Here is a 25,166-nt window from a genome sequence, read left to right as displayed (position 1 = left end):
GCCCCACACAGGATTCGCCCAGCCCACAACGTCGCTGGCTCCTTCCTTAGCCCCTAAAATCCTGTTTATATATAATTTCCTGTTTATATTTCCTAAGTTGTCACTACTTCTGTGAAGCTTTGCTAAACTTGTCTGATAACCTTTCTCTATGTTCCTGCAGCATGTTGCATATGCCTCTCTTATCATATTTATCCTACTGTACTAACTTACTCAGTTATGAATCAATCTCAATGGAATTCAGTCTTCAGTGAAATTCAATACCCTCCCAAATGGGGACCATGTTTTAGTCATTGCAAACCCCCAGTATCCAGACTGATGTCTGGCACCTAGTCAGTACTCATTAAATGTAGGCTAAATGAATGCACAGCAGATTTTTAAAATGGGTTATGGGGAATTCATCCTTTCAGTTACCTTCTACATGGAAACAACTCACCACTAGGTCATAGTCTTAAGATATAACTTAAGAGAAACTTGAAGCTGTAATACATACTTAATAAATGCTGAAGTCCAAATCTGCTTATGATGATAAATACTGACGCTGCATCTATATAGAGTACCAAACATGACAGTGGTCCTGCTGTTTTTTTATATATTACACAAAAGACATGTTCCATGGCCAGACACAACAGCAGAAAGAATTTTTATTTCAACACAGGAATATGCTGAGCTTTCATCTCTTATAATGATATACTTCCACTGTGGTTTCTTTAAAATAAATTGTATTGTGTATATTTAAGGTATACAACATGATATTATAAGGTGTGTGTATTTATATTTATATACACATCACTATAAAAAGGTGTGTGTGCATATATATATATACACCTTATAATATCACATTGTATACCTTAAATATGTACCTTATATATTTAATAATATACATTTATGTTTAATACACCTTATATTTTATAAGGCTAAGTATATATCTGTACCTTATATTTTATATTTTATATAAGGTATATATATATGCACCTTATAATATGTTATATACCTTAAATATATATACACATACCTTATAATATCATGTCATATACCTTAAAATATATATATATAAAGAGGATTAGTAATATATATATATATATATATATAGAGAGAGAGAGAGAGAGAGAGAGAGAGGAACAAATTAACATACCCATCTTCCCATATAGTTACCCATTTTCCCTTGAGTGGCAAGAACAGCTATAATCTACTGATTTAGCAAAAATCCCACTGTGTTTGCAATTGATTTCTAATTTCTAACACTGAACATATGCTACCACAGCTTATCTCTCACATATGGCTTTTATTATATTTGGGTTATTATAAAAAATAAGAGGTCACTCCCTGACTTTTCACCATAATTTCTCTTAGTGATACATTTCAGATCACACAGGGCTTAAATTATATATTGTGAACATTGTGGCAATAAATGTTAAAAGAGGGTGAATAAGAGAAAGCTATCTTTTTATCTCACATGTAACAGATAATTTATTTGGTAAGGTCCCTGACTTTTCTGGAGCATAACCAGACATGTGGTTGGCTTCTTGAGCAACTCATTTCGAAAATGAAAAGGAACAAATTACTTTTCTTTTGGCAATTCTTTACTAAAACCCTACTCTAAAAATAACACACATCTTTTTGTATTTGATACTTTTGAAATAGAAGATTGCTTTAAAAATGTTTTAAGCTATGTCTCTCTAAGAATAAAATGCAGCCCTTTTCCAGGGAAACATTAAAAGCACTTCGTGTAAGCACCTTATTTTCCACAAAGCCTTCCCAGACCCAGAGCAGTGGACACCGACACCCATTTCCTCTTTTCTGTGGCTGTTTGGAGTAAGTTTCCAGAGAATTAGCACAATTGATCTGTAGTTCCTCTGAGATTCATCAGTGAGGCTGCAGTTCATATTTTCAAACTGCCAAGATGTTTTTACTCACAACTGCACAGAAAAAGCCCTAACTTCAGGCACAAGCAGGTGTGATATATGCAAATCAAATTCCTTCATTCTGTTATTATCCAGTTTGTGGCAACTGCCAGCTTTCATTCTCATCTCACAAATGACTAGGTAGTACTCGCCAAGTTTTGAAGTATTATCAGGAGACAGTGGGTAAATTTTCAATAAGAAGCTCTTGTTGAATGAAAAATTTTTTCTGTCTTGAACTCAACTTCACTGTTCCTTGGTTTCCTAATTTGTAAAGTGGAAATAATAATATTTGTTGTACCTAGTTCACGAGGACATGGAGAGATGGCAAGTTTGGAAAAGCAGAGAATTTTGTGTGTGATCACATGAATGGCATGGGGAGAGCTGCAGTTTGTCTCAACTGCTGTCAAAATCAAAGTAATTTTAAAGGGAGCAAATTAAAGTGCAACACAAGACAGAAGGGGGAAGGATGGAAAAGACTACAGGAAAGGTTGGCTCACTTAGAAAGGAAGGGAAGGGAAGAATTACAGCCTGCAGGGATTTGGCCAGCAGCTATACGAATGGGCTCCAGCCTCGCCCAGGGGCTTCACACTTAGCAGTTCTTTCCTTGCAACCTCTACAAAACAACAGCAAAAGCTCTTTGAAAGTGATTGGAAATACCTTGGTGAGGCTCTGATTCCTGAAAGACCACTTCCTCCTCCCCAGTCACAGCCCCACAAGAGGCCAAGGCTGGTTGCCTGAGACGCTAAAACTCCAGGCTAATTTAAAAGAAGTTCCAAAGAGATCTGAGCCATCACCATTTTTGATCCTTTTACTCCAATCTTCTGTCCCTTCCCAGACTGGGCCTCTGCCTGCTACTGCCTCCCTTTGCCAATTGAAGGCTTTACACCTGAAATGGGAATGTCTGGTCTCCACATATTCTGAAAACTCGTAAGTGCTTGAGGAACTTCATAATAGAAAAAAGTACAAACACGTAAAAAAAATCTTCAGCATCATCAAAAGCTGGAGATATGCAAACCAAACAGGAGAGCAGCAACTAGATGCACTGGATGAGACATGCACATTATATTTTTAAACTGCAATTACTTTTGCACCACCTAATAACATGTATGCATCCTAGAAACACTGCTTAGTGAGAAAAAAAAAAGTCAAGAAAGAAGGAAATATCTGGCTGAGTTTGGTGGCTTGTGCCTGTAATCCCAGCAGTTTGGGAGGCCAACGCGGGTGGATCACTAGAGGTCACGAGTTCAAGACCAGCCTGGCCAACATGGTGAAATCCTGTCTCTACTAAAAATACAAAAAAATAAAATTAGCCAGGTGTGGTGGCACACCCCTGTAGTCCCAGCTACTCAGAAGGCTGAGGCAGGAGAATCGTTCGAACCTGGGCAGGCGGAGGTTACAGTGAGCCAAGATTGCGCCACTGTACTACAGCCTGGGTGACAGAGTGAGACTCCATCTAAAAAAAAAAAAAAAGAAGGAAATATCTACTCAGGCATACAAAACAATAAGAGAATATACATACAAAAAGTACACACTAAATCACATTAGTGTAGTTATTTAAAAGGGGAGCTGGGAAGAAGGAGAATGGGAATAGGGCATGATAACAAAAGGAATAGACAGGCAGATGGATGGGCAGACAAATAAGCAAGAGAATAGCTTGGCCCAGACCAATGATGAAAATGGGCCATCAACTGACAAGCATGATTAACTCCACATGCTTCATAAGAATCCCCAAAATAGGTAAAAGATAAAAATTAAACAAGATTTCATTTTACATCAATCAAATTGACAATTTAAGAAGGCTTGTAATACCTAGTGTTGACAAGAGTGCTGGCAAGTAGGCACCCTTATACATTTCTGGTAAGAGTACAAATTAGTACAACTTTCTTAAAAGAGTATAATATGTTACTCTGTGTCAAAAAGCTTAAACACTGTACATAAACCTTTGGACCCGGTAGTCACATGTCTAAAAATTGATTCAAAAATATTTACCACAATTTCTACTAAAAATGTTTACATCATGGTTACATATAATTAAAAAAATTGGGAACAAATATCAAACCATAGAGGATTGGCTAAATGAATGATTGCATAGCCAGAGATGGAAAATTATACAACAGGTTTAAAAAGATGTTGTAGAAGGATAAGTAATAACATAAAGCAAGCAAGCAATAAAACTGTAAATAGAGTATGATTTTAGTTTTGAAAAAAAAAGTGTATGTGTATAGACACACAAAAAGATATCTTTATAAATTAGGAAGACATACACCAAAATACTAACAGTAGTGATTTAGGGGAGTTTGAGTTAGAAATTTTAGCTGACTTTTTATTATACCTTATATTTTATTGACTTTAATTATTTTTTTTTGGAATAAACATAAATTCATTTGGTATTTGGGGGGAATTTTGGTAATTTTCCTAATGATGGAGGGAGGAAAGCTATAGTCCTTTTCCCTAAGGTACATGCTAGGTAAATAACTTGTTAACCTATTAACCATGATTGTGATACAGCTGAATGATTTACCCGTCTTGAGTAATATATTTGAATTTTTAGCAGGGTCTTTGGTAGACACAGAACTTGAACCAAAGGAAATTACTTCCCAGCCAATGAAGGCTTTGGCAGGTCCACATGGACCTTTCATTGCTTCATAAGTCAGAGGACAAAGCAAGACATTCAGCTCATCAGGAGTATCTGGTAAAGTTATCTCTTCTATTTCCTGCCCCTCTACCTATATTCCTAAATCGACAACATAGGTATAATCCAAGGGTTTTCAAGACCACCAGCTTCTCAGCTTCTACTCATCCTCTGTGACCACTGAAAATCCACAGCTGCTAGGACTCCCTGTGTTCCCTCCCCAATCCTACACCCAGTGGCCCCTGTTAATTAAATGCCTATTGTCTACTCCAGTGATGTCTACTGAAACTGAAGAGCCAAAGGCGGGACCGCAAACCAAAACAACCTTTTGATGGGGAGAGTTTTCAGACCTCCTGGCTGCACTAACACAGCTGCTCAGATCTCAGCAGCAACAACAAGGAGGTGCTGTTAGCTCTGTGAGCAGCATAGAAGCAGGGGAGGGCAGAACAGGGACAGTGCTTGGGTGGGGAATGGAGAAGAGAAAGAACGTATGCCATACAGTCTAGCTAAAATAACTGAGAACCTTCCAAACTGGGCAGAAAGCCAGAAGACTTGTCACTAGTTTGTAATCCATAGCTGAAATACTTTGGGGTTCAGATTTGTCGGGAAGAATGGGATCTGTCTGAAAGATAAACTCTGTGGCATCTGTGGCAGGCTTTCTCTGCTGGTATGTGATACTTTTGTTCTGTCATTTGTCTTCTGGCATACACAGCAAGGGTCTAGAAGTGGCAAAGACAAATGCCAAACACAGCCAGCTTCCTGCCAAAGCAAAGGTCCCAGACACAACACCACCAGCTGTTTTCCCCTCTTCTCTCCATTTTTTCTGCATATGAATATAATATCCAAAGAGAGAGGGGCCTTGGAACACTGTTGTCACCTGCCTCATTGGGTCTTGTTTACTCAAAAAAACTTACATTCTAGGAAGGCAATCCTATTGTCTTCCCTTCTGAATGGCCTGAAATACTCCATGGACACGACCCAAGTTTTGAAGACAGTTGATTTTATAAGTCACATTCCCAACTCTAATAAAGCCCACAACTATGTTAAACATGAGGAAAAGAGAAGAAAAAGAGGGGTGAGAAAAATAGAGAGTCTGTAATTATCCTGAGGCCACCACTAGCCAGAAATTGCTGACAAGGAGCAAATAGTGGAAGCCAAATGGAAGATAGGTCATCTGTAAGCCAAAGTTTAGTCATGCCTGTACATTTCTGTTGATTGCTCTCTATGCAATGGTTTATCACATTTTTTCTATCAAAAATTATTCCAGAGGGCCACAGATATACTTAGCACCATGTGAAATTCAGAAGTATACGGCATGTCCCTGCCCCAATGACTGATCATTTCCTATCATATTCCCCTGTAAGGTATCTTTATAGCACTGATAATAATAATTTCATATAATGATAACTATCTAAGTATTTAATATTATCTTGTTTATTTGTTTAGAGGCACTCTCCTCCCATTGAGGAAGTTAAGTTCCTTAACTAGAGGGAAGTTTTCTGTCTGCTTCACTCTGTATCTCTGGTGTCTGGGACAGGGCGTGGTACATAGAAGAGGCTCCACAAATATTTATGCATGAACAGAATCGAAGAGACAGGAGATACCACTTGAAGCAACAAGTCACCTTTATGAGACAGTCAGCAATTTAGTAAGGGACCATAATTGCTGTAGAATGCCAAAGAAGTTCTGAACAATGCATAGGATTTAAAGAGTAGAACAAAATGAGTGAAGGCAGTGGTAGAAACATGCAGGGCCCCTAAACTGAGTATGTGACCCGGCAATGAAACTGAGACTAACCCTCCAATCCTGGGGTATGTTGCAAGGGCCATGGAGGTGACACCAGCTTGGCCATGACTATCCCAACAGAGAAAGGGGGGCCCCTGTCTTGCGAGGAGGGCTCCTGGATTTCAGAACAGTAGTTTCATAGGTGCCATTGTCAAGAGGTCCACCCAGGGCACAGCCAGGCTGGGATAAGTCATGTGTTGGAACACAACACCAAGACCCATTAAATCCCTGCTGCTTTGGACCTGGCTTTGCAAGGTCAGTGCTTCATTTCTGCAAATGACTGGCTGCTCCAGTCAACCATCGTTCCAACAAATAATTAACTTCAGAAGGTCCTCTGCTCAGGCCACAGCTTTTAAATCTCAACTAGGTCAACATCCTAGTTGTAAATTTTATAGGTTTTTTTATTATAAACTTTTCCTCTAAATATGTCACAATATTGGCTAAGAAACAAATAATCATAGATTCTCATTGTTTAATCTGAGCACTTAAAATTTTCTTTCCTTTTTAAAAGAAAAAGGGATTTTAATTTGCTATAAAGAATACAGTATACTGTTCTCTATATATTTACTTCTCCATAACATATAAAAGCAGATTTTATTTAGATGAGACATTAATGGCAGAAAGCTTTTTGTTACTTAATGAAAGCTATTTGGTTTTTATCTCTATAGGTTGAAAAATAAAGGAATGGTTTCAATAATATCAATAGCTGCCTTTTACAGTCCACATACTAAGGCCAGGCATAATGTATTTATACATTTCAAACAGCTTTTCTAACCTTCATAATAATGGTTTAAAGTAGATAATATCGTCCCCATTTTGCAGTTGAAAAAATTGAAGTTCAGAGAGGTTAAATGGTTTGCCAAAGCCCTCTTGCAGCAAGTGGTAGAGGTGCCATTCAAAATAATCCTATCCCTTATAATCCTGTAAAATGTTCAGTTGTTTGATTCTTTACGTCTCAAAATCTGAGACCATACAGCACTCAGATATAGAATAAACTTCAAAGGCTTTTGGATTTTGTTTTTGTTTGTTTTGTTTTATTTTACATCTCTATAAGCAACAACTAACCTGCCTTGACTGTGAGCTCACTATAGGCAAAGACTGAATCTTATTTACTTTATACACTTCATGTACTCAGGACCTAGAACAATGGTCAAAAAAGAATGAAAGGGGAAATGAAATAAAAGGAACAAGGAAGAAGGACAATAGAAAGCAGAACCCAAGTCTCTAAACTTATATGAAGGGCTTTCTAGACACCAGGTACCATCTCCTAAACCAGCGGTCCCCAACCCCCAGGCACAGATCAGTTTCAGTGTGTGGCCTGTTAGAAACTGGGCCACACAACAGGAGGCAAGCAGTGGGTGAGGCAGCATTGTCACCAAGCTCTGCCTCATAGGAGTGAGTGCAAACCCTATTGTGAACTGCCTATGTGAGGGATCTAGGTTGCAGCTGCTTATGAGAATCTAACTAATGCCTGATGATCTGAGCTGGAACAGTTTCATCCCGAAGCCACCCCCAGCTCCCCGGTCCATGGAAAAATTGTCTTCCATGAAACCAGTACCTCGTGCCAAAAAGGTTGGGGACTGCTGCCCTAAATGGAATATGTGAATTCACTCATTCATCTTCATAGCAGTGCAATGTGGCAGATATTATGTCCCTGTTTTACCCATAAGGCAATTGAAGAGTGGAGTTAAAGAATAGGTAAGTGACAGAGGCAAGATTAGAAACCAGGTGGTTTAGGCCGGGCGCAGTGGCTCACGCCTGTAATCCCAGCACTTTGGGAGGCCAAGGCGGGCGGATCACCTGAGGTCAGGAGTTTGAGACTAGCCTGGCCAACATGGTGAAACCCTGTCTCTATTAAAAATACAAAATTAGCTGGGCATGGTGGCAAATATCTGTAATGCTAGTTACTTGGAAGGCTGAGGCAGGAGAATCACTTGAATCCAGGAGCCAAGATCGTGACAAGAGCAAAACTCTGTCTTAAAAAAAAAAAAAAAAAAAGGCAATAAATAACAGAAACCATGAACCAATTCAAACAAACAAACAAAAAAATGAGGCCAGGTGTGGTGGCTCACCCCTGTAATCCCAGCACTTTGGGAGGCCAAGGCGGGCAGATCACTTGAGGTCAGGAGTTCGACACCAGCCTGGCTAATATGGTGAAACCCAGTTTCTACTAAAATACAAAAATTAGCCAGGCATGGTGGTGAGCACCTGTAATCCCAGCTGCTCAGGAAGCAGGAGAATCGCTTGAACCCAGGAGGCAGAGGTTGCAGTGAGCTGAGATTGTGCCACTGTACTCCAGCCTGGATGACAGAGCGCGACTCCCTCTCAAAAAAAAAAAAAGAAAGAAAGAAAGAAAGAAAAAAAGAAACCAGGTGGTCCAGGTGGTTTAGCTCCAGGGTCCAAGCTCTTAACCACTGGGGCCAGGCTCCCCATAACATCTGCGCCTGCAGAATGAAGGCAGCATTTGCCCTGCAGTACACATGGCTCTATCCTCAGGCCTTTGTGAATAAAATAAGTTTTAAGTAGACAAACAAAACATTGATACACGTATAAAAATGGGCTAAATCGTACTCTTTCTCTTTTCAAAGATTACAACCTTATGAGTTGTAACCTTATAATTTTAACCTTACGTTAAAATTACTCATTTTAACATAATCTTACATGGTGCGTGTTGTTGGTTGTTTTAGCTTTTTTTCTTATGGACTCTCGTATCTAAGATTTGTGTGCACAGTTCAGTGGTCCCACCAGAGTGGAACAGAGGCTGATTGAACAGAGGGGCAAGACAAGCAAGAAAGAATGTTCTCAGGACCTGGCGAGTTCCACCTGGATCCAGTTTAGATTTAATACCTGAGTTTTTAAGATGACTCAATGGAACCACTGTTCTGGTGAGGGAACAGAGTAAATCCAAGGCAAGTGATACCAAAGAGACAGGCAGGAAGAGTGCAAGGTCAAGTATTGTGGTGGGGAAGGTGGGGAGGGGGAGCAAGGAGCATCCATACATGGATAAAGCCTGGCCATCAGTCTCCAGGTAATTAAGCAGTGGGCTATTAATTCCTGGAAATGGGTGAGAGCAGGGCAAGCGGCAGGAACCAAAGTACAAGGCCAATGCTAGGACTGCAGAGTCAAGAAGAGTGGGGTAGGATGGGCAAGAGGGGATGTTAATCAGATCCAGGTGTTGGCAAAGGACACATAGGGGTTAAAGCAGAAGTCTGAGTGCCAGAACTAAAATGTGAGCTTTGGGTACTAACAGGGTGATCACTCTATGGCCCTACCTGCTGTGAAAAAAGGCAACCTACATCTGTCTCCGGTTTAGGTTCATATAAAAACAGGCTAGTGCTAAGCCTTAATGTACAGTGGTCAAAGCATCAAACTCTGGAGTTGTAAAGGCAGGGGAAATGAAGCAGGGACTGGTATGGAGTGCATCATGTGGCCTATAATTACAACATTATTCAGTTTAATCATGCAAAATATGTAACAATAGTATTAACATATGCACATGTGTTTATATGCATGTTTGTGTTTGTGCATATACCCCTAAACTCAAGAGAAAAGAGAAAATGATAAGGGCCCCTATGGGTAAGATTCTCAGGCAGGACTAAGTGTTTTCCTTTACTCCCTCTGGTTTACCTGCTTGTACTCTTTTGTTGAAGAGCCATGTTTAACTGCTACTTTTTTTCAACTCTGCCCTTTATTCAACATAGTGAACATGAATATTAATCAGGTGATTTCTGGTAATTAGTTTCCTCAGCACAGCACTCAGTTTCTTTGGGTTTTAATGGGCCAATAAAGTGGCAACTTATCCCAATCATCACATAAATGACCCTGCCAAGAGGAATCAATCCAGAAAAACCTGTTGTTACCATAAAATGGCAGGCTTCTTTTTGAAAAGTTTAGCACGTATTGGAAGAGCACCAGCTGAGTGACTGACTTCCAAGGTCAGTGGTGAAAAGTCACCAACAGTGGTACAAGCATGAATATTGCAAAAAATTCCAAAGCTGAGAAAGCTTATCTGGAAAGATAATCTTAGTGCCAAGACAGTATATGAAAATTGATCACAACTTTGGCTTTAATTTTTAAGATCCACTCTCTCTCTCTCCTTTTGCTCTGTTTTTTTTTTCTCCTTATTTTATGCATAAAAATGCAACCAGCCTGAACTAAAGCAAATTGGTTTAATTCCCTGGAGGGAGCATGAACAAATTTTCCCAGCAACTTTCTACTAGAGGCATTTGTGTGTAGATATGTGGATGGAATGTGAAGCAGTGAGCTACGTAAACCACTAATCAAATGAAACATTACCCATTTCAAAATGCCCTAAACTAGCATTAGCATCACCAATTAAAACAACGGGCATGGGAGAAAGGAAAATGCCCTCCCCCCAGAAAAGTCATATGTATGTGGTATGTGTGTATTTCAGGGGATGGAGGTGGTACAGAGGAAGGAGTAAAACCTAGGGGAAATTAGTTGCCTTTTAAAGGCAAATCTGTCACGAGCACTAGCAGGAGATCTCTTTGATGGGATAAAAGAAAGGAGTAAAGACATTCAATAATTTCATCAAATTAAAATTTCAGCAGTTTACCTAAATTGCCCAACCATTAGACACTTATAAAGGTATTTGTATGTTCCCACTTTGAACCTGTTTTAAAGTAACAGGTAAACTGAACATGATAAGCTATAAACACTAAGGGTTCTTTTCTGTTTTATGGCTGAGACTTCTATTGAAACACTGGTCTTTGAAGGACCACCAACTGGTAGTATTCTCATTCATTCATTCATCACACACTTGTTCAACAATGCTCAGAACTTTGTGCAGCCCTTGATGCTGAGGATATAGACATGCAGGTGATATTTCTGTAGACACCAAAGAGCCTCCAAGCCAAACTCGGAAGCTATTCTGCCTTCCATATTCTATAACATGGCTGATCACAAAACAGGCTCTGCTACACTCATATCTCTGTGGCATAAACAGTATTAGTGTTTCCTTTCAACATGGTTTCCACAACCCCATGAGCTCCGCTTCTGACCATTACCTGGAATGGAGACGACCATCAGCCTCCTCCACATAGGACCTGCATATGGCCCGAGTGCTCATTTAGCCTGCACATCTGATTAATACCATGAACTTAGCCTTTTTAACCTCAATCATTTTCCTGCAAATGATTTTACTGAAAGTCTAACCAAGGGTGTGAAAGAAAGGAGCATATCAGCTGCCCCTCAGATTGGCTCACCTTCTGATTCTCATCACTGACCCCCCGTTATGTTTAGCTGCAGAGAGTAGCTATCACATCTCCCTGGCATGACATCCAAGACCTTCCCCTGGTCTATCTGCCTTTTCAGATTTCCCTGCCACTACACACCCTGCCTTAGTTTCTGGGCACATCTAATTATCTATTCTCCTGAAGACAAACTCATATCTCTGTCCCTTGTCTTTGTTTTCATCATTAACCCTGATATGATTTGGCTCTGTGTCCTGACTCAAATCTAATGTCAAATTGTAATCCCCACGTGTCGAGGGAGGGACCTGGTGGGAGGTGATTGGATCATGGGGGCAGTTTCCCCCATGCTGTTCTCATGATAGTGAGTGAGTTCTCATGAGATCTGATGGTTTAAAAGTGGCACTTCCCCCTTCATTATCTCTCTCTCTCACTCTCTCTCTCTCCAGACACCATGTAAGACGTATCTTGCTTCCCCTTTGCCTTCTGCCATGATTGTAAGTTTCCTGAGGCCTCTCCAGCCACGCAGAACTGTGAGTCAATGAAACCTCTTTTCTTCATAAATTATCCAGTCTCAGGTAGTTCTATATGGCAGTGTGAAAACAGACTAATACAACTCCCATCTTCCATTTCTGCATTTAAAAAAATTATTTAGACATTTACTTTTTAAACTTATAATCTCTATTGAAAAAATGGCCAAGTATAAACAAACAAATTAAATTATATTATGACTACTCCCACCTCAAGAGACTATTATGATATTAAGAATTTCAACTAGATCTCAATTAAAAATATAAAATAAAAGTAGGCATATAAGTCCACTAAACCATATTGATAAGAACCGAATAACCTAATAAGGTTATTAAAACATCTCAACATGTATCATTTCTCTAACACACTGTTCTCCTCATCCCATCAGAAGTCTTGTTTAGAGTTTCTTCTCTTATTTGAAAAAGTGCTTCCAGCTCCTGGTGTCCCCAGATCACTTGGTGGGGTCAGGGTTGGGGAGCTGTCTTGGTAGCTGGCCCAACTGTGGCCCAGCCAGAGATTACCTGCACAGGAATGGCGATCTTGGTAGAAGCCGTCCCCACAGGTAGGCACACACTGCCCGTGCCGCATCAGCAGGGGAGGCTGGCAGGATGAGCACTCCAGCCCACTGGTACACGTGGAGCACTGGGGCTGGCAGGCTGACTCCAGATAATGTTGAAGAAAGAGAAAGGAACCATTTGATTAGCTGAAAGACACCACCCCCATGCCAGTGCTTACACAGCCCAATCTTGAGGCTCCAGGTCCCAAACAGAAAATGCAGAAAAATAATTTTAACAGCCATCATCTGTATAGCACACAGTTCATGTCAGCCACTGTTTGAAGTGCTTTACGTATATGAATTCATTTAATTCTCACAACCACCCTAGGAGGTAGATATTATTAATCCCAACTTTACAGATGAGGAACAGACTCAGGGAGATTAAACAACTTGCCCATGGTCACATGAGGCTGGCATTTGAAACCAAGCAGTTTGGCTCAGGAGTCTATGTTCTTTTCCTCTTATCCAATAGCCCCCAATATCTTTGTCACTCAAACTTTTAGCAAGAAGATCTCTTGCCCCTTTTCCAATACTGTATGAAAGAGATATAAGTAACTTTCAAAAAGGTTGAAGATTATATGAATTAGGAAAGAAAGTATGGAGGAGTGAATAATTACAAAAATAATAAAAGCAGCTAACTCTTATTAATCCTTCACTGTATCCTAGACATCAGGCTAGGCACCTAACCTGTATCAAAACACTTGATCCTTATAACCACCCTCTGAGGAAGGTACTGGAATTACTCTCACTTTATAGATAAGAATGTGGAAGATACCAGGTGGCAGTGGCTCACACCTGTAATCCCAGCACTTTGGGAGGCATAGGTGGGTGGATCACTTGAGTCCAGGAGTTTGAGACCAGCCTGGCCAACACGGCAAAACCCTATCTCTACTAAAAATATGAAAATTAGCTGGTGTGGTGGCAGATGCCTGTAATCTCAGCTACTCAGGAGGCTGAGGCAAGGAGAATCGCTTGAACCCGGGAGGTGGAAGTTGCAGTGAGCCGAGACCATGCCACCACACTCCAGCCTGGGTGACAGAGTGAGACTCCATCTCAAATAAAAAAAAAAAGAATATGGAAGCAGAGAGAGGTTAAATATTCACAGCCAGGTATGAACCTACACACTTTTTTTTTCTTTTTTTTTTGAGACGGAGTCTCACTATGTTACCCAGGCTGGAGTGCAGTGGCACAATCTCGGCTCACTGCAACCTCCACCTCCAGGGTTCAAGAGATTCTCCTGCCTCAGCCTCCTGAGTAGCTGGGACTACAGGCGTGCGCCACCACACCTGGCTAATTACACACTTTAAAATGGATAATTAACATCATAAGTCAGAAATAAGGGGAATAGTAACTAGGATTTGACATCAACCAAGTCAACTCTCCCAAGTAAGTTCTTCTCAGATGTAGCATCCAGAAATGCACATAAACCCATTCTGGATCCTCTGGTAGCCCATAAGAGATAAGCTCTATTACCAACTATCTGTTTGATATTGAGCAAGTTGGTTAATTTCTCTGGCCTACAGATTCCCCATTTGCAAAATTAGAAAGTTGCAGTAAATGATCTTGAAGGTCTATGTCAATTCTAAGTTTCTATCCCGGATTAATTGAGTGCTTTAAGAAATGAGCCCAGGTATCCTGATATTACTATCCTTGAAAGTCTTCAAAAATAAAAATATTTAACTATGACTACCTAACAACCTCCACATCACCTGTCTTCCAATAAGCACCAAAATACCTATAAAATGTCAGAAAAAAAGACCTGCAGGTAGAGAGGGCAAGTAACCTATAGATGACATTACTACCTTCTAGAGGTTTTTAGACGTTGTGCATCTCAAAAACATGCTGCATGCATGACCCCCTCCTTGACAATACTGAGCCTCAGTTTAAGAATCACAACCTTTGATGAGTCTATCTCCCACACACCACCACCTCTGGGTTGTCCACTTGGAGCCATACCTAAACAGAGACTGCCAGCTTGGTAAAAACCCAGTCCACAGCTGTGCACACACCATCCATTCTGCAGTAACTTGGTAGGATCTTGGCAGAGGTCACAGTGGTCTGGAGACTGAGAGCATGTCAAACAATCTGGATGGCAATGAACTGAAATCAAGGACAAAGAAGGGGAGAACTCTGTGAACTCCATCTATTATTTCTCTTACATCCTTCAGAAAAGAATCTACAAAGTATGTAGCATTACATAGAACATGAAGAACAGAAAACTGTGGGACTTAGGAAAAAGCCTCCTAAATAGCAAAAAAAAAAAAAAAAAAAAAAATACATTCCAATGCAAGATTGCAAGGAAGTTTTCCTTGTCTGAAATTCATCACTGTCTCCCATAGCCCCAGCATGAAGATACTAAAAGAACAGCCTCTACCTGCTGGAATACTTCAAGAAACAGGAATGACTACTTCCATAATGTATTATTTAAACAGATTCAATAATTTATGATACCTCCGATGTTCTTCTTAAGCTTCAACATGTACAAACAGTTCAGACATAAAACCCACAATGTTGAAAAATAGTTATTTTTATCTAAGAAAAATGCACCCCATTTTCTTCTTTTTCTCCAAAATTTCAAATCTCATTTTCAGTAATTGGGGTTATCACTGAATTTAGTGGTAATTATCAGCAAGGGACTTCTTTTTTCAGGTTTTGAAGTTGTCAAGGACCTGATTTTCAATATATATAGTGCATAATAATATGCTAAATGTTTGTTTTGGAAAGCCCAGAGAGCCACTTTGGTGTAGGTAACATAATTAAGCCATAAAGTTGCTTTGCTTTTTCCTTGATAAACTCTTCACAAAAATACTGCAATTAGCCAAAATAAGCTGAGTGCAACAAGAGCAACTGCCAATATGAAAATTATGGCCCATGAATGAAAACAATTAATTATGAAATATGAATGGAAGAAAATGCCACTTCTCCAAGAGAGACTAAACTTATAGGCAAACTACTACTCAACCAGAGCAACTCCAGTGCCTGCCAACAATTATTAACTGGAACTAATTCAACCCCAGGTGATTTGAAAGCAGAATTGCAGAACAAGTAGACAAAATTATCTTTTGGAAAAAACTAATGAGTCTTTACACTTTAAAAACCCATTTGAGAACTCCAAAAGGAACCATCTGTTCAATAGCTCACCTTAAGAACAAAGAACACCCATAACAAATGTTGAGAAATTATTCTTATATTTTGAACAATGGAAGACAGATTTACCTTTACAAGTCTTCAAACATGTTGCTTGATTTTCACAATAATTTTGCAAGATACATAAGGCATATTTTATCAACAAGAAAATTAAGGTTTAAAGAGGGTCAATGACTTGCCCAAGGTCACATGCTCATAATCTGTTGAGTTTGGCAATTACACAGACAAAGATTAATTAGCATCATTTGTTAGAAAAATTATGAAGAAACAAACAAACCCATTGGTTAACTAAAAATAAAAATGAAAAGAAGCAAGGGGGTGGGGAAGAGGATCTCTGAGCTTTTTGGCAGTAAAACTATCTCAGTAGAAACAGAGGAGACATGGACCCACCTGATGTGCAGTCTGGACAGCACTGTCCCTTCACCTCTAAGGCCAGTGTGCCCACTGGACATGGTGGGCAAGAGGGCTCGTAGCAAGTTACCTGAGCCCCTCGGCACTCACACACCTTGCAAGGGCCATCTTCCCACTTCTCTCCCTCCTACGCAAAAAAGTGAAGAACAGCATTGTCATCAGGATGCAGTAATTCAGAAGAGAGCTTGCTGCTGAAGAACTTACAATTTCCATAAGAACAAAGTGAAGGCAGCTAATCAGTACTCTGCCAAATCTAACTCTGAAACAGAACAATAGCAAAAGAGTCCTAAATTTAAAACACAGAATTTATCTTTCTTTGTTCATAATGGGTTTTACTTCAATGTAGAGAACCAGCCGAAAGATTTTAGGCACACTCAGAGATAAGCTGTGAAAGTATTCTAGGACTAACAGAATATGTAAAAGGCATTTAAAACTTGTTTCTCAACCTCTTTCACCAAAAACATCAAAGGAGATTACTGTGTAGCTGGTGATTAGCAGGTGAGTTAAATACAATCTCTAAAATAACAGTGGGACACTTGGCTAAAAACCTGAATTTCCCTATGGTTACCACAGTAAGAGTTAACAGTTGAGTCATTGTATTCTAAAAATTAAGACTTTTGCAGGCCTACTTTTAATGGGCTGTAGATGTGCCCTAAGCTTTCACACACTAAAATACCTTTTTCAGCCAAGCAAATTACGAAAATAAACATTAGTAGTCGGCAGAGAACCCAAATTGAATTGTAAAGAACAATTCATTTTTGCTAACAGGAAAGAGACAGAGGTTCTTACCCGAAGGTATTGGGGTGATGAGGGAGGTGAAACAGGAGAAAACAGGAGAGCAGATTTTAAAGTAACAATTTTATAAAACGCTTATTAAGCCAACAGACATTAAACATTTCAAACAATTAATGTGACGGTATTTAGCAGAATGAACATTAAGTGTTAGAAAAGTGAGCAATACTATCTTGAGAAGGCAGAAGTGCTTTTCTTCCATTTGAAAGCGGACCCGTCTTGAGATCAGACCCCTTATTGTAAGATTGCTGTGTTAAACGCTTGCATTTTCCCTTTGAAAGAAACCATATAACATTGTCCTGTAGACAACCTGGAGAGAATAAACTTGAGATTGTTTGGGGAATGAATGCTTGCAAACCCAAGAAGCTCTTTCTTCAGCACTTTGCAGTACATAAAACTCTACTGATGGTTAAACTGAGTTTTCTAGGCCAGAAAAGAATCAGGGAGAGAAAAACATCACAAGAAAGGGAAAGAATCTATGTAGGAGCTTGTGGTTAGAGAAGTATTAATTATCAACTGCATAAAACAACTGGCTAAAGAGCAAAAGTTCAATGCATCAAAGTCTGAGTTATCATTAAGATTCTTAATTCCTGATCATAGTGCCATCAAATGTGGCTGTTAAAAATACTAAGGTCCTAAGTTTCCCCATGATATTTCATGCAGATCATTACATAAAACAATTTTATAATGATCTACGTGCAAGTTAAAAAGCTATACTTACTGGAATACGTTTAACTTCACTAGCATTTGATGACATCTAGGAACAAAGAGAAATGTCTTTATTATGCCACTAAAAACACCATTAGGCTGATTATTTTATTTTTTCATTAGGAGTTATCCATTTTTCCCAAGGAACATGCAACTTTATTCACTGGTTATGAATAGAGATGAAATCTATCTTATAAAAAACAAGAAAAGCATACTAATCTGAGGTGAAATCAACGTGCCTAGGAAATATTTCTGAATTCTCACTTTGTGCCTGAGTACTTGGTTTCAATTCCCCTCAATACTAAGGACTTTATGCTCAAGGGACCTAAACTTGCAAGGGCAAATTCTTGAATTTTGCATGGTGCCAGAGCATGATGGAGATTTGTACTTATTTAAAATAACTTTGTTTTCTTTAATTTCACTGAGTTTATCTCCAAAAATGAGTAGGAAAATTGATACTATGATTGAGAAAATATAAATTCAATATTTATAGGGAGGCTTTAAAACCTCCTAAATTCTTAAGAAATGAGGATGACTAAAGTGTGATCTACCACTAGGAAACAATGCCAACAGCAAAATAATAATAATGCCAATGTTCTCAGCTTTTTAAAAAAATGTGCCAAGAAAGCACTGTTCTAAGTGCTTCACACATAACATCTCTACAGCCTCATGCGGTAAGTCCTATTGTTATCGCTAGTTTACACTGAGGATTAAGTAACTTGCCGAAGATTACAGTACACAGCAAAGTAGAGATTTGAACCTAGAGTCTGCACTGTTAACACTACACAATACTGCCTCCCCAGAATGTACAGAAACACTGGAAGGTTGACAGATGTAATTTACCCAAATCAAAAAAAAAAAAAAAAGTATGGAGGAATCAGTTTACCAGTCAAACTCCTTATCCCTAATTCATATACATGTTTCACTTCCTGCAGTTTCAGTTAACCCCAGTCAACTATGTTGGGAAAATACTAAATGGAAAATTCAAGAAATAAAAAATTCATCAGTTTTTAATTGCATGCCATTCTAAGTAGGGTGAAAAAAATCTCAAGTTGTCCTGCTCCATCTTGCCCAGGACCTGGAGTCCTTCCTTTGTCCAGCATATCCATGCTGTAGATGCCACCCGCCAGTTATTCAGTAGCCATCTTGGTTATCAGAGCCACTGTCTCAGTATCACAGTGCTTATGTTCAAGTAACTCTTATTTTACTTAATAATGCCCAAAATCCAAGAGTACTGATGCTGGCAACTTGAATATGCCAAAGAGAAGCTGCAAAGTACTTCCTTTAAGTGAAGAGATGAAAGTTCTTGACTTAATAAGAAAAGAAAAAAATTATGTGAGGTTGTTAAGGTCTAAGGTGAGAATAAATCTTTCTATGAAACTGTGAAGAAGTAAAAACAAATGTGTGCTAGTTCTGCTGTTGCATCTCAAACTGTGAAAGTTACAGCCACAGTGTGTGATAAGTGGCTAGTTAAGATGGAAAAGGCATTAACTGTGTCGGTGGAAAACATGAACAGAAATTTGTTTCAACTGATGCCAATCAGGATCAGTACTATTCACAGTTTCAAGCATCCACTGGGGGCCTTGGCACATATTCTGTGGTAAGTGGGGACTACTGTAATCCTATTCTGACTGGTCAAAGAAGCAGTTGTTTTTATGATCAACTGGCATATTTTTAAAAACATAATGAATTTATCAACATTCCAATACCCAACATGAAAAATATGGGCTACATAAATAGGGAAAATTTGAAAAGATTAAGATAAATATATTTCCTTTAGGTAATAAAAAAGTGCAGACACAGGGCAAAATAAAACCTTAGTAAATAGAGTTTTGCCCCTCATCTAATCAAACAAAATCCAGTCACTGCTACCTGCAGAATAAATCTAGAGCCTGTTCACTTTTTACCAAATGTGCCACTTCCTGCCTAGACCAAGCCACCATTGCCCTTTGCCAGGACCATTACAAAACCCCACCAACCAGGTTGCCTACCTCCAGTCTCATTTCCTTCTGTCACTCACCCATGCAGCAGCCAAAGTGGTCCTGTCATGAGTTAAGCGAGAGCCCAGCGCTCTTCTGCTCAAAACTCCCCAGCAGCTCCCATTTGCCTCAGGGTAAAAGACTGTGGCCTCCAGGCTACTTACTAGACCTCATGGCCAATGCCTTTCTCCCTCATTCACTAAGTTCCTACCAGACTCCAATTTCTTGAACGTGCCAAACACACTTGCGTCTCAGTGCCTTTGCATTTCCTGATCCCTATTCCTGGTATGTTTCCTCCTAGACATTCATGCGGCTCCCTCCCTTCAGGCTCTGCTCAAAGTTTTCTGTAAGAGAAACCTCCTCACCATTTTATGTAAAGGAACACATCCCCCACACCCCACCATCCTGTGCAGCTACTGTCTAGCCCACTTGCACTGTTTTATTCTTCTATGTAGTGCTCCTCAGCACCTGATGTGTAGTATGTGTGGGAGATGTGTGTGTGTGTTTTCTGTGTCCCTATACTACAAAGTATGCCCTACCAAGACAGCAGGAACTCTGCCTGTTGTATTCCCTTCTGTGTCCCCAGAGCCTGTTGTACAGTAGGTGCACAATAACATTTGTTGAACAAATGAATGGGCAAAAGAAACAAGAAGGTAATGTTCCCTCATTAGATTAATTTTGAATTAATTTGAAATCATCTTCGGTTATAAGCCTGATACTCACAAATTCTCCAGTTTCTTCATAAACACAATAACCATTCCTTGAAATGCATTCAGGACAACACTTTCCATCTAAGTGAATTAATTCTTCATCCTGTAGAAATAAGGGTTGCAGTGGCACATATCAAATTAACATCTCCAGGTAGCAGGGCTAAATTGAGAAGCAGTTGGGTTCCCTGACTGGAATAAGAAACGCTGGCACACTGTTGGCTCTGGCCCTCTGCCTGTTTCATCTCCCCCTGTCCTGTCTTCCAATAGGAAGTGTAGTCCACACAGCACACTCCTCCATGTGCTTTTTCTTTCCTGTTATGATCTGTTATGCTCTGATCCCTCCATAATTTTCTACCCATGACCAGGAGCTCACATGAATAAGAAGGAAGACCAAGGTTAATGTTATAGTCTAGGAAAGTTATGAGTTTCAGAAAAGGATCACACTACCTTAAACACACAATTTGTGACTTTAGTTTCATTAACAGTGCTCAAATCAAACCACCACTTTTCCCTGAATACAAAATCAGATGCATCCCTGTATGTACAGATGTAGTCTTAAGCATAAATTAAGCAGTAGAAAACTAAATTTTACTCAGTATTCTGAAACTCTTACTGTTAGCCAACTCATATCAAAACTATTCTTAAAATAATAAGAGGATGGCCAGTCGTGGTGGATCACGCCTGTAATCCCAGCACTTTGGGAGGCCGAGGCGGGCGGATCACGAGGTCAGGAGATCGAGACCACAGTGAAACCCTGTCTCTACTAAAAATACAAAAAATTTGCTGGGGGCAGTGGAGGGTGCCTGTAGTCCCAGCTACTCAGGAGGCTGAGGCAGGAGAATGGTGTGAACCAGGGAGGCGGAGCTTGCAGTGAGCCGAGATCACGCCACTGCACTCCAGCCTGGGTGACAGTGAGACTCCGTCTCAAAAAAAAAAAAATTATAAGTGGAATACTTTTAATTTATCTACCCTGCCACGTTTGCAGGGTAGATATTTAACTTTCCAAGTCTTATCATTTTCATTTCCCAATATCAATAATTTTAAAATTTTTATTTTTTTACAAAATAATAAATGCTTGCTGTAAAAATGTAAATAATTTGCAATTCTATAATTTAGAAAGTGTAATTCCACTGAAGTCCCATCTCCCAGAAAATCTGCTGTTTTTCATGTGTATACACTAACATCTGATCTATATGTTAGTATTCTATACTAACATATAATATCTGTAGCCTAAAGAGTATTCTTTAAAGTACTTTTCACTTTCAAAAGACATATCTACTTTCTAAAGAATGGGGGGGGCGGTTCCAAGATGGCAGAATAGGAACAGGTCCAGTCTACAGCTACCAGCATGAGTGATGCAGAAGACAGGTGATTTCTGCATTTCCAACTGAGGTACTGGGTATATCTCACTGGGGCTTGTCGGACAGTGGGTGCAGGACAGTGGATGCAGCCCACTGAGTGTGAGCCGAAGCAGGGCAAGGCATTGCCTCACCAGGGAAGTGCAAGGGGTCAGGGAATTCCCTTTCCTAGCCAAGGGAAGCTGTGACAGACGGCACCTGGAAAATTGGGTTACTCCCACCCTAATACTGCGCTTTTCCAATGGTCTTAGCAAATGGCACACCAGGAGATTATATCCCACGCCTGGCTCGGAGGGTCCCATGCTCACGGAGCCTCACTCATTGCTAGCACAGCAGTCTGAGATTGAACTGCAAGGTGGCAGTGAGGCTGGGGGAGGGGTGCATGCCATTGCTGAGGCTTGAGTGGGTAAACAAAGAGGCTGGGAAGCTCGAACTGGGTAGAGCCCACTGCAGCTCAAGGAGGCCTGCCTACCTCTGTAGACTCCACCTCTGGGGGCAGGGCATAGCCAAACAAAAGGCAGCAGAAACCTCTGCATAGTTAAATGTCCCTGTCTGACAGCTTTGAAGAGAAAAGTGGTCCTCCAAGCACAGAATTTGAGATCTGAGAATGGACAGACTGCCTCCTCAAGTGGGTCCCTGACCCCCAAGTAGCCTAACTGGGAGGCACCCTCCAGTAGGGGCAGACTGACACCTCACACGGCCGGGTGCCCCTCTGAGACAAAGCTTCCAGAGGAATGATCAGGCAGCAACATTTACTGTTCTGCAATATTCACTGTTCTGCAGCCTCCGCTGCTGATACCCAGGCAAACAGGGTCTAGAGTGGATGTCCAGCAAACTCCAACAGACCTGCAGCTGAAGGTCCTGACTGTTAGAAGGAAAACTAATAAACGCAAAGGACATCCACACCAAAACCCCATCTGAATGTCACCATCATCAAAGACCAAAGGTAAATAAAACCACAAAGATGGGGAAAAAACAGAGCAGTAAAGCTGAAAATTTTAAAAATCAGAGCACCTCTACCCCTCCAAAGGAACACAGCTCCTCGCCAGCAATGGAACAAAGGTGGATTGAGAATGACTTTGACGAGCTGAGAGAAGAAGGCTTCAGATGATCAAACTTCTCCAAGCTAAAGGAGGGAGTTCAAATCCATGGCAAAGAAGATAAAAACCTTGAAAAAAGATTAGACAAATGGCTAACCAGAACAACCAGTGTAGAGAAGTCCTTAAATGACCTGATGGAGCTGAAAACCATGGCATGAGAACTACGTGATGAATGCACAAGCTTCAGTAGCTGATTTGATCAACTGGAAGAAAGAGTATCAGTGATTGAAGATCAAATGAATGAAATGAAGCGAGAAGGGAAGTTTAGAGAAAAAAGAATAAAAAGAAATGAACAAAGCCTCCAAGAAATAAGGGACTATGTGAAAAGACCAAATCTATGTCTGATTGGTGTACCTAAAAGTGACGGGGAGAATGGAACCAACTTGGAAAACACTCTGCAGTATATTATCCAGGAGAACTTCCCCAATCTAGCAAAGCAGGCCAACATTCAAATTGAGGAAATACAGAGAACGCCACAAAGATACTCCTCAAGAAGAGCAACCCCAAGACACATAATTGTCAGATTCACCAAAGTTGAAATGAAGGAAAAAATGTTAAGGGCGGTCAGAGAGAAAGGTCAGGTTGCCCACAAAGGGAAGCCCATCAGACTAACAGCTGATCTCTTGGCAGAAACTATACAAGCCAGAAGAGAGTGGGGGCCAATTTTCAACATTCTTAAAGAAAAGAATTCTCAACCCAGAATTTCATATCCAGCCAAACTAAGCTTCGTAAGTTAAGGAGAAATAAAATCCTTTAGAGACAAGCAAATGCTGAGAGATTTTGTCACCACCAGGCCTGCCCTAAAAGAGCTCCTGAAGGAAGCACTAAACATGGAAAGGAACAACCGGTGCCAGCCACTGCAAAAACATGCCAAATTGTAAAAATCATCAAGGCTAGGAAGAAACCGCATCAACTAACAAGCAAAATAACCAGCTAACATCATAATGACAGGATCAAATTCACACATAACAATATTAACCTTAAATGTAAATGGGCTAAATGCTCCAATTAAAAAACACAGACTGGCAAACTGGATAAAGAGTCAAGACCAATCAGTGTGCTGTATTCAGGAGACCCATCTCATGTGCAGAGACACACATAGTCTCAAAATAAAGGGATGGAGGAAGATCTACCAAGCAAATGGAAAACAAAAAAAGGCAGAGGTTGCAATCTAGTCTCTGATAAAACAGACTTTAAACCAAGAAAGATTAAAAAGAGACAAAGAAGGCCATTACATAATGGTAAAGGGATCAATTCAACAAGAAGAGCTAACTATCCTAAATATATATGAACCCAATACAGGAGCACCCAGATTCATAAAGCAAGTCCTTAGAGACCTACAAAGAGACTTAGACTCCCACACAATAATAATGGGAGACTTTAACACCCCACTGTCAACATTAGACAGATCAACGAGACAGAAAGTTAACAAGAATATCCAGGAATTGAACTCAGCTCTGCACCAAGCAGACCTAATAGACATCTACAGAACTCTCCACCCCAAATCAACAGAATATACATTCTTTTCAGCACCACACCACACCTATTCCAAAATTAACCACATAGTTGGAAGTAAAGCACTCATCAGCAATGAAAAAGAACAGAAATGATAACAAACTGTCTCTCAGACCACAGTGCAATCAAACTAGAACTCAGGATTAAGAAACTCACTCCAAACTGCTCAACTACATGGAAAATGAACAACCTGCTCCTGAATGACTACAGGGTACATAACAAAATGAAGGCAGAAATAAAGATGTTCTTCGAAACCAACGAGAACAAAGACACAACATACCAGAATCTCTGGGACACATGTAAAGCAGTGTGTAGAGGGAAATTTATAGCACTAAATGCCCACAAGAGAAAGCAGGAAAGATCTAAAATTGACACTCTAACATCACAATGAAAGGAACTAGAGAAGCAAGAGCAAACACATTCAAAAGCTAGCAGAAGGCAAGAAATAACTAAGATCACAGCAGAACTGAAGGAGATAGAGACACAAAAAACCCTTCAAAAAATCAATGAATCCAGGAGCTAGTTTTTTGAAAAGATCAACAAAATTGATAGACTGATAGCAAGACTAATACAGAAGAAAAGAGAGAAGAATCAGATAGACGCAATAAAAAATGATAAAGGGGATATCAACACCTATCCCACAGAAATACAAACTACCATCAGAGAATACTATAAACACCTCTATGCAAATAAACTAGAAAATCTAAAGGAAATGGATAAATTCCTGGACACATACACCCTCCCAAGACTAAACTAGGAAGAAGTTGAATCCCTGAATTGAACAATAACGGGTTCTGAAATGGAGGCAATAATTAATAGCCTACCAACCAA

At 39.9% G+C, this 25,166-nt stretch overlaps 1 protein-coding gene and 1 non-coding gene across 3 annotated transcripts in view; both read right to left on the bottom strand.

Annotated features, from left to right (window-relative positions):
- The window catches only part of FRAS1 (Fraser extracellular matrix complex subunit 1), a 486,947-nt gene that overhangs the window by 245,150 nt on the left and 216,631 nt on the right, over positions 1-25,166 (bottom strand). For both annotated transcript variants that reach the window (NM_025074.7, NM_001166133.2), the window contains exons 10-14: positions 20,376-20,465; positions 17,687-17,722; positions 16,153-16,300; positions 14,572-14,715; positions 12,581-12,715 (exon numbers count right to left, since the gene is read on the bottom strand). In NM_025074.7, coding sequence (NP_079350.5) covers positions 12,581-12,715; positions 14,572-14,715; positions 16,153-16,300; positions 17,687-17,722; positions 20,376-20,465 — 553 coding nt within the window. The remainder of the gene's footprint in view (positions 1-12,580; positions 12,716-14,571; positions 14,716-16,152; positions 16,301-17,686; positions 17,723-20,375; positions 20,466-25,166) is intronic.
- SNORD161 (small nucleolar RNA, C/D box 161) lies at positions 10,070-10,135 on the bottom strand. The gene has a single exon (NR_145782.1). It is a non-coding gene; the product is annotated as a small nucleolar RNA, C/D box 161 (small nucleolar RNA).

Source organism: Homo sapiens, chromosome 4, assembly GCF_000001405.40.
Source record: "Homo sapiens chromosome 4, GRCh38.p14 Primary Assembly".
NCBI classification, from domain to species: Eukaryota; Metazoa; Chordata; class Mammalia; order Primates; family Hominidae; genus Homo; species Homo sapiens.
This window is presented reverse-complemented; position numbering and strand designations above follow the sequence as displayed.